The sequence below is a fragment of the Homo sapiens genome, chromosome 3 (genome assembly GCF_000001405.40).
Source record: "Homo sapiens chromosome 3, GRCh38.p14 Primary Assembly".
In the NCBI taxonomy this organism is placed as follows: Eukaryota; Metazoa; Chordata; class Mammalia; order Primates; family Hominidae; genus Homo; species Homo sapiens.
This window is the reverse complement of record NC_000003.12, coordinates 147,928,676-147,939,994: the sequence shown is the minus strand read 5'-3', so window position 1 is coordinate 147,939,994 and position 11,319 is coordinate 147,928,676. Positions and strand designations below refer to the sequence as shown.

Genomic DNA, 11,319 nt, shown 5'->3' with positions numbered 1-11,319 from the left:
AGAGAGCTGCCTCCAGCTGCAGGCGAGGGGCCTCAGTGTTAAGGACGCACAGAACTAGTTTGTTAATGAGATCATTTCTCCAGTGCAAAGAAATGTAGCCACAAGCACAGGGATATTTAACAACTAAAAGAGCTGGTAGGATGATGTTTTTGAATTGGAGTAATCAGGAAAAAAAATAACAAAAAAACAGTGAGCGGCAGATGCTTCATTGCAATGACAAGTGAATAGGAACAGGACTATTTGCCTTAAGATTTGTAGTAGACATGCACATGTTACTTTGCTATAGAAATGAAGAAATTGATCCCCAAAGAATTTGTAGGTGGTTTGATATGTGGCTGGAAATATTTTTGTTGTCGTCAGCAAAATAATGCTTAAGGATGTTTTTACTAGCTAAGATCTCTTCTGTATCTGTTGATATAACTGTAATTTGAAAATTTTCTTTCTCTGATTGGGTAGTTGAGTAAACAATCAAGGTTTTCATTTCTAGCACCCAGATGGGTAAATTTATCATGAAATCAAATGATTTCTTCATGCAAAAACTTCCAACATTTTTGCATTTGAAAACACAAACACATACATCATGCTTAAACAAAGCATTCTGTTTAAATTTGAGAATTTTAAAAATCATTGCTTTCTAACATTGTGAATGCCCTTTCTTGATTCAGATATCTTTTTTGCTGTCAAAATTAAAAGCAGAGTTGTGTTCATTCTACTGGCTTGAACATTTAGATGTATCCTTTAGTCTCTGCTTGTGTTTGCTTTTTTCTGTCTTTCCCATGTTTCTTTGTTTTCCTTTTGTCTTCTTCTCAAGACTTCCCATGGTTTTTGTTTTATCATATTGTTCTCTTTGCATTGTTCAACTGCTCTTTGACAAAAATTCCATATTTAATTTAATTTTCTTGTTTTTGTTTCATTTCCCTTATAGTTTTATATGATTAATTTTTTTGTTGTTTTTGTTAGGGCATTGTGTTTATTTGTGAAAACACAGTTCCAAAAGTCACAATAGTACTACGTGAACAAACTTTTCTATTGAGTGTCCTTATCTTTTAATATTTTGGTTTTTTTGACTTGTTTATTCTCTTTCCCAGTTCTGGCCATTTTAAATTATCTTTTCATCTATTGCATTGACTTTTCCATTACTAATAGCCTTCTCTTTTAATTCTTCCCTTGATGTCTTGATTTACTAGGCATCTCTTCATTACTAAAACATGACCACCATTTTTTCAACACTTAGTATAAGCACTATGCTCAATGCTTCGTGTCTATTCTTTTGAACTCTTACTGCAATCCGGAAAGGTAGACATTCTCATTCTCATTTGACACAAGAGGAGACAGAGGCCCAATGATTAAGGTACTGTCTGAAGACCACACAATAACTACGATAGCAATGATTTGTTCCCAGAGCTACCTGACACCAAATCACCCCCTCTTTCAACTAAACCATATTGAGGCTCAAAATCAGAATTAGGTTTTGAAATTTTGTTATGTATTGGGGAAAATATACTCACTTGTTAAACTTCACTCATTTCAGTCTTAGTATGCATGTATACCTGAAATGATTCAATACAAATTACTCCTTATACCTTCCTTTTGATAACATTTACCAACTTTAGTTTTATTTGTGATAAAAGAAACCTCTAAACTCAAGTTACTATCTTCAACAACATTTTTGAGACTAAGAGTAGGTCCAATTTTCCTTTGCATACGTACCAATCTGCTAATATATGGTTGTAAATGTACATGAATTATAATAATAAGTTCCTACTAGTACAATAAACAAGAAAAGACAACACTAGAATAATAAATAGCCTGTGTTGTCTGCAAACCTCACAACACTATATCAGCCTTCCAGTAATGACATCAGTAATCAAATATGTTTTTACAGTTGTCAATGTAGCGGATCAGACATCTAATCCCAGTCTGCTTGCAGCTGCTTTTCCTCATCCTTCCCTCACTGTATTAAATTTGCCTTTTGGGAAAATAAGAAAATTATGTGTTGCCTTATATTCCTTGTTCAGGTTTAAAAACTCTTATTCTTCTTGCTATGATGATGACATGCAGGTGTCATTCTCTAAACAGGACACTTTGCAAGTTTCATATACCCACTGTTTAATCACTACCATTTTCTTCACCTTATTATTGCAATGATAATACATATACATGTATGTGTATATGTGTACATATATGAACATACATACAGACATATTTACTTTTGAGAAGCAGATGGATATTTGATATTCTATTAGAAGTCTCTAAAATTGCTGCAGCTATTTCTGTGAAGAAAGTTGTATTTCTAGACTTTGGAAAAGAGCTTAACAAAATTCTCTTTGATGGATTGCAGTCCTGAAAGTTGCTCTTGTATTAAGCTGCAATTAATGCTTGTACCCAGCAGTCTCCTAAGGAATTACAGAGGAACAAAGTTAGCAACTAGCAGGCCTAAAATAGCTAGAGGGCTTTGACCACAAGGATAGGATAACAGTAATGCAGTGACTAAGAGGAGAGACTGAGGAGTAAGGAAATCTTGACTTCAAACTTCAGCTCTTATAATTTGCTACCTTTGTGACCTGGGCAAGTTACCTAATTCTTCTAATAAGAAATATTCTTCTAGTATTTCTTTGTTTAAATGGAGATAATGCCCACCTCAAAGGGTTTGGGGAAAATTTACCAGTTAATAAATATAAAGCATCCAAGACAGAATGGTATTTACTAAGTCCAGTATAAAAGACAATGGTTATCATTGTCACTATTATCATCTATGCAATGACTAAAAATGAATTTCTCTTTCTTTCCTTCTTTTGTCATGATGTACTGAACTATAGAGTCTTTTATGCATCTTATGAGTAGCATTTATGCTTCTAGTATTTCCCTGTTTTGGTTGTTCTCACCACACTATAACGACTATTATATACAACTCCTGCAATAATTTTAAGATCAACATAAATCTGTACCAAGTGAAATATACATGAATCAACTCTTCAGCACATGTAGCAGAAAGTTTCTAGGACTAAGCTCAATGCCTACACAATGCCACATAAAAGATGTTCAATAAATTACTGTTACAACTAGCTGAATTGAACCCATATATTGTATTTGCCCAATGCAAACCGTAAATTCATTAAATGTATGCTTCATTCGTGTTCCTGTACATACATATATGCTTTTATTCATGTATCACATGTCTACTGTATGATAGGGACTGCCCCCAAATTAAGCTACGATGGGCAGGAACCATTTGTTTCATGTATGTGTGTGTGCGTGTATGTATATACAGCATACATACATAGATATATATATCTGTATATATAAGCTTTACTTTCATCTGTGAAAATTAGAAGGACAGTCTGATTTCTAATGTCTATAAGCAATAACATCCTACGATTCTTATCTAAATACACTATTTCTTTCTTAGAGAACTCCCAGTAAAGCTGGTATACCAGGACCACCTCTACTCTTAATAATCAGATTTCCCAAACTTTGTATAATTGCAAGGGCTGTATATTTATTACAGTTGACTATAACCTTCACTATTTTTTCACCTACCGTTCACTCTTTTAAATTTTATTTCAAGGAAAAACTGTTGATTTGAAACATTTTTGTTAGGAAAACTCTGACACATCCAATTGAAAACATACTGGCTCACAGTAGTGAAACCTTGAAATAAACTTTCAAGATCTGATTACTCACAGCCTGACAAGTAATTGAAAAGATGGATCTTATTATCATTGGATTGTTTGTTGTTTTTGTTTTTATCATGCATTTCTTCAGGCTGTTCCTATGTATCCTGAAAAGCAATCCATCTAAAGATATAATTTAATTGATTGATTCAGCAAACATTTCGTGAGTACCTATCATATGCTAGACACTGTATTAAGTATTGAGGATACAGATATATAATCTATATTCTCACCACTATATCACAAAACCTATTAAATAGAAATGCTAACATAGATAAATCCATGAATAGCTACATTTTAAAATTATCTGTATGACATTCAAAAATACTAACCAAAAGCAGAAAATGTGCAATAAAATACTCAACATGCTGCTTGTGTTGTTGTCTATTAAAAAAGGTTTCAAAATAATAGAAATTTCAGTTGTTCAAGCATAATGTACTTCTATTCAATTGAGCCCCTAAATCCAGATTAAGACCAGAGTTGGTTCCAATGGGCATGTTCCCCCCAGCACCCTCCTGCCGCCAGCCATTCATATTGAATTTTAAATTCATGTTAGCAACTGCCTATACAATCCAGGGAGGAAAAGGAGAGAATAGGGAGAGGGGTGGTGTTGAAAAAGTTTCTGAATGAAAATTTGCAAGTTAATCTCAGAAGATGAGATTTTTTAGGAGTTCCTGCATCTACAACACCAGAGTTGTTTGCAAATAACAATTTGGAGGCTTTTTTAAAAATTCACTATTAAAAAATTGCAACTGACCCTTTGCAAGTAACCATTCAAACAGTAATAAAAGAAAGCAATGCTCAGTTCTATAGTTTGTTCATCTGGATGTGAAAGGCACAGGTTTAGAGAGGGGCATGTGTTTATAATATTGCCATGTGAAAGAAACAGGGGCAGTTACATATTTCACAGAAAGTTAACACTTGGGATAGGCTATATTAAACATGTGTAACTGGATGGCATAAATATTCTTGAGAAGTGAATTTATCTATGTAATCTTCTATAGACCTAACAGGAAGGGTGACCCTGTAGAACCAGGATCAAGGCTTTAGAGTGAATGATTGTAAGCACGTGTAATTATTTCTTTCAGATTTATAACAACATTCTTGCTGTTAACAAATATAAATGTAACATTTACTAGGAAATAAGAGACTGCAGACGGAAATAAACAAACCTAGGATGTAGTTCATCTAAGTAAACACTGAGGTTATAAACCTTCCAACTCAAATATCAAGAGCCCTGCAAATTAATGCTACACACAATAGGCCCTTTGGAAGCTAACTTAATCCACCCCCCGAATCTACATGAGGGCCATGCATAACAATGCAGGAGCTGGGTTTCCATTAAGAGTTTCCTCTGCAGGCTGTCAGCTGTTTGAAGAAATAACAATTTCCTAGGCATGAAAGCTTTTTCAGAAGGTTCCCACTGATGTGTAATAAAAGTGACTTTCCTTTTTTTTCTTCTGCTTCTTACTTTCTCCCCAACCTCAGATGTAACATTGTGGGGGAAAAAAAGGGTGGACTAAGGCCATAGGCCCCCTACTAGTTTACCTTACGTGGATTATCAGTGCAGGTGTTAATATAATTGAAGGTGTGGTAGCAGATACAACCCCCTAATAGCTTTTCCTATATAGAGATTACCTAGGTAGAGAATGCCAGAGTACCTGAAGAATAGGCAAGTGAGTACCTTATTAACATATCACCATTCAGCGGCAGCTGCATATCTGGAAGAAGAAGAAGAAGAGAAAAAAAAACCTCTAAAGAGCCTATTCATCTATGTTAATGGGCCCATTGCACAGTACATTGTGTGAGAAATTAAGTCTCTGGCTGTGAACTTCCTGTGCTGTGCAAGCTGCCTTGACTCTTTTTTATTGCTTCAGTGTTATTATCTCCTCCTGGAAATAAAAACAATCATGTTCTCACATTTGAGAAGCCAAAACATTCCAATATAACAAACTGGAGATGCTGGTTGAAAGTTTCTTTTGTCTCCTTTATTAACTGAAAAAATATGTTTTGAAATTAAAACAACCCCTAAATTTACATCAAAGCACATCAAATTAACTGAGCTGCCCTGTGAATGACAAAGTTTTTTTTTCTTTTCTTATAAAATATACAATTTAAATTGCTTTTCTAGTTATCATTCCTTTTTAGAATTAATTTTTGTAGACAAAATATGTTAATTTATTCAAATTAGGCTTTAAAAAAAATGTCCAACTGGCAAAAGAACTGCTTTCCTCCTGAATGATAAGTAAAATAGACACTTTTTTTAAAAAAATGATATTTATTGTGGGCAAATAATTTAAATTTCAGAACAAGGTTGGCTAGCATTTCAAAAATAAAAATAAGAAAGGTAATTTAAGATTAAAGAAAATCCCTCTTTTAGGTGTTTAAAGTCCAGAATGTTTGCTCTTACTTTTTTCGTGGTTGTTGCAAAGCAATCATGTAAACCCATGTACATCATTTGGTATAAAAATGAATTCTGTTCAGATTAATAGAACACATTTTCATCACTTTGTGTGCACATTACCTAATCATTACCACCATCATCATTAAGATCCTTATCATAAAATAAAAAGCTAATGACCAACAGTGATTACAACTCAATTAACAATGACTCTCCCAGTGCGATTTTAAAAATTCAGTTTCTTTCCAACTTGAAGCATTTTCAAGTTAACCTAATATGTTTTACTATTTAATAGGTTACTGAATATGAGAGATGATAAAAAGAATACCATGATTCAATCTGCTACTTTACTTTGCTAAGGTACATTCTGTCTTCACTGACAAAATTTGTCTAAGGAGAATAATGATTATTGTCTGATGTACCTAAGTTTTCAGCAATCACCAATCTTTATTTTAAGAATATGGCAAATCAGCCAATGGTAAAACAAGGTTGAATACATCCAGGATGGATATATAAACACCATAGAGTTTGTCAAGAAAATTCTTACAGTGTTAAAACTTTAGATTTTTCATTGATTTTTGTTGTTTTCTTTAAAATATAAGTAAGAGTTTGTAAAAGTAGGATGTAGTCAAACAGATCCTTCTTTAAATGATATCATGGCATGGATGTTTCTTTAATTTGCACAGTAAAATCAGCATTAATTATTTGAAATAATATTCACTTTCAAGCCTTTTTCAAGGATGAGTGCAAGTGTTCCAAACTACTACTTACTAATATATCTATATTACATTTATTTATTTATTTACATACACTTATTCATGTGAAGTACTGAAAGAGATGACTCTGTTTGCTTTGGAGTCAGTGCTTTAGTTGCTGGGATATGACTATAAATGGTACACTTTCATAGACTCTGGAAGGCGTTGCTAACTTTGGTTTCTTAAAGAGAAGACAAATTATTAATCTACAGTAGGAAGGGAACTTGACTATCCATTCTTTCCTTAACTAGTTTATATTTCATGTTGCTTTATATAGACTACTATGTAGACTACTAAATAAACAAGGTTTTCTAGAATGAGTTCATATTTTGTTATTTAAAAACCTCCTCTTTACATAGGGTTCCTTTCATAAAATACTTTCTTTTTTCAGACAAAATGCCTTCTAGTTTTTTTGGCTAACATTTTATGGTCACAATCTGCTGCTGGGGGCACTCAGACAAACAGAACTGAACGCCAATGTTTTCTACAGCAAGGGGGCAGTTGATATTTCAAAAATAATGGACACCAATAATTTAAAGAACAGTAAAATTGAACTAGTTCCTTTAAAATAATTCGGATTAATGGGCCATTCACAGTCCTGTTAACACTTAACAACCCTATGCTCCAGATAATCAGGGTAACATTGTTGCCAGCACAAAAGTGACACCAGAACTTGTCTTCATTGGCATCAGAAATGCCAGCCATATCACCTCTGACTGCGTGGCCCCATGTCTATTAACCTTATTGATTTGGAGTCCTGCTGGGCCTCCCTGGAAAACTACTCCCTGCTGAAAGGTTGAAGTGGATCAATCCTGAACCATGGACAAGAATTCAATAAAACAACATAGTAAAGACCTTTAACCATTAAGTATTCCTTAAAGTAAATCAAATTAAGAACTTTGCCATAATGAAGCTCTTTTAAGATTTTTGAGATGCCAGTTGATTCCAAGTCCCCAAAAGTAAACTGTTGTCTAGAAGGGACATCAGACTATTTCAAGAGATGCCTTTTTATCTGTTGTGAGGTAGTTAATGGAATATAATAAGGAGTGCTGGGTTTGTGTATTCAAGATGGCTGTTATGTAAATAAGTGGTTGTAAAGTCAAATTTTAAAATTTTATTATTTTCATAACAAAATTGAACATTATGCAGATTCACAGTAGAAAATGTCCTAACAGAAAGAAAAATGTTTTCCTCACTAGCTACTAACATAAATTTATTGTACTTACTACTTGTTTTCCATAACATGCTACCAAATTTTCTGAAGTTGTTAGTAAACTTGCAATCTTTTTCAAATTCATAGTTAATAAAGAAGACAAGTGCAGAGGTTCAGAGCTCCATATTTCTCTACAAAGGCAGAAGTGATCTACATATATAACAGGACTGCAACAAACCCATTCATATTTAAATGCAACTGGATTTCTTAGGAATTCAGTTTCCATCTTTCCAGATTTTATATTCTTTGGGCTTTGTTTATTCACAAGTCCCTGATCTGGGTTTCAGAAAAAAATCTCATCCCCTGAAAACCGAACACTTTTGAAAACTTTTAACACTTGCAAAATTGAAGCATCTTATCAATACTTATCTTTAAGTCTCAAAAGTCCTAAATTCACAATAGAGATTATATATGAATATATATAATATTTTATGTAAATATATAATATAACAATATGTAAACATTTATGTATATTTACTTTATATATTATATATAAATATATGTATATGTGTGTATACATTATATATATTTATTTACTTCTGAATGTTTCTTTCTCCTAATTACTTTTAAAATGATTGGCTGTTTTTAAATTATCTATAATATCATGTTAGTGAATGTATATAACTAAAAGTTTTAAATAAAACGCTTTTGCCATTAAGAATGCAGATACAGTTTGATTTTTAAAAAAATACTGGTTGACATTTTTGTTTCCTAAAATATTTTCTCTGTAGTATTTTAGAAAATGTAGTATTGGGATTTTTTTTTTTGCTGGAAAATAAATACTATATTGTGTTGTTCATTGAAAAATGGCCCGATTAGTTATTACACTGAAATAATGCCATACAACTAGAATAACAAAAATTAATGATTGCTGGCTATAATAGGTATTCATCTTTGATCAATAATGCATTATAGCCTATGTGAAACACCTAACATAGAACATAACATATATTACCTCTATTTAGCACCTCTAGGCAAGAATATTGTAAAAAGAAAAGAATCAAAATTACAGTTTTTCTTTATTGACAGCTCTCTAAGGAATACACTGGAATGAGTTCTGTCTGCCCAACTAATTGATAATTATTTAATTAGCAATTTATAATGACAATGGGATTTTACCCTCCACTAGTCCATCTCTTCTTTAAGACAGAAGTAGACAACTTTACACATCTTTGTACTAACTTCTGGCAGTCAACACTGGCCAAAGTGTGCCCTCACTAAGATTTCCAAAGTTAAACTCTAAAAGCAGTGTGTGCCACCACCTCCTTTAAATCACAGCATTTCCTTTTCCCATTACCAGGGATGACTGGCATTTTAACAATGTGTGTGGGTGTACACCCTTGTTGTGTCACTGTGGACAGTTTTAACAGCAGCTTCATTAGTTCTTTTTACAACAAAAGATAGGGTTTCCCCCCCTGCCTTTTTCTTTCTTTCCCTTAGTTGGCATGCGGGCTGAATTTTCCTCGGACTCCCTGCTTGACTTTTTTTTTTTTTAATTCCAGAACTTCTTTAGAATAGTGCTGCTATTCGAACACTACGAATTGTAACTGATAGACTGTTTGCAGAGGAACTCATGAAAGTTCTCTTTGTTCTCCCTTCTTTAACCAGGTTTACCAGCCCCTCCCTCCCACCATCCAAAAAGGAAAAGGAAATCCACTTTTAATTATACATTGATGGAAATCACTGTGTAGGAAGGATGCATTCACTGTAGAATACCCATTATATACTTTATTACAAACAAAAAGAGGTGCTTGCATCAGAACAATCAGGACAGTAATTCTCTATACCGAGCAAAAGCTCAAGTTAAAATGTATTTTTCTCCATAACATTTCTGTTCAGTTTAATATTTCTGCCCTAATGATAGAGTTCTTTTAAGACATAAAACTGGTTAGTAGCTTTAAATATATATGTGTGTGTGTGTGTCTGTGTGTGTGTGTGTGTGTGTGTAATCTTCAAGTAACTATATAGAGAAGCTTTGTGTAGATAAAAACAAGATTGAATCCCATCTGACTGAAGTTTTGACAATTCATTATTTTTTATCTTTCATGCAAAGAAATAGGCTTGGAGTCAAAATGATTTGAAATGGAAGAAGGTGAAGTTGTGAGATCTCCTCGGTAATAATGAGGGAAAAGCTATATTTTAAGGTGAATCAGTGATTAATGATGAAACTTCAATATTGTCTCTAGGAATGAAAAGAAGAAAGAAAATTAAAGGATCAAGAAATAGGCACATTCTTGAAATAAAATTTCAACTGAACTTGCCTTTTAGTTTTTTACTTCTAAAGCATATGTACACTCATTTTCTTTAGGTTAGAAACCCTTTTTTTTACTTTTGAGGGTTTACTTATATAAGAAAAAAAAGTAGTAATGTCCTGCATGCTAAAGCAAAGGCATTTGCTCTAGAGGACCAACATTCAGGCTCCAAAAAGGTCATCCATTTACACTTTACACACCAGACCCATTATCACCAGATTCTCATTACAGCTGTGTGTATCAAGCAGGACAACTCATTTTTTATAGGCAAGGAGGATAGGGCTTAAGAGAGTAAATAACTGGTCTTATAAGTTGAGGTCCATAAAGAAAACAAAACTAATGCAAGTACTTTGGCAATAAGAAATTTAGTATAAGAATTAGATCTTCTATGAATGTTGGTGGGAGCTGTTTAAGTGAAAGTCTGGAAGAAGGGAGTAGAGAATCAGAGATATAATCAATGCCAGATTTACAAGAAGCAGTGGCCCAGGAGAACAAGTAAGTGCTTGTAGGAAAATATGAGAAACTGTGCTCATCTGATAGCAAAGTTGCACTATGATGTATGGAGGTGTCTGTGGAAACTATCCTCTCTGGAGAACATGTTGCTTCTGCAGGGGAGAAAAAGTAATACCTTTTCTTCACCCATTACTAGGGTCATGGCTGACACCCCTATAACAAAAGACAGATTAACAAGAGGAAAAACATAACAAATTTATTTATCAAAGTTTTATTTGACGTATGAACCTTTTTGAAGTTTTATGTGACATGGAATCCTTCAGAAATGAAGACACAAAGACCAGAGGAAAACTGTATCTTTACGCTTAGGTTCAATGAAGAATAGACAGTTATGTAAAAGCATGATTGGACAAAAAGTGTATGATCTAATGGTAATAAATTAGTGTGTGTAGGGGGTGCCCAGCAAGGTCTATCTGTTTAGATCCTTTTTGGCCTCTGGGACAGGACAGGACATCTCTGGAATGAGGGTCTTATTACCTACTTTCAGGTGAGGTAAGTCAGATAATTTCAG

At 33.5% G+C, this 11,319-nt stretch overlaps 1 annotated feature.

Annotated features, from left to right (window-relative positions):
* Positions 4,346–6,106: an enhancer, noted in NCBI's record as "VISTA enhancer hs1224". NCBI's record gives its function as "enhancer in: forebrain[5/10]" and the evidence as "EXISTENCE:transgenic organism evidence [ECO:0001131][PMID:17130149]".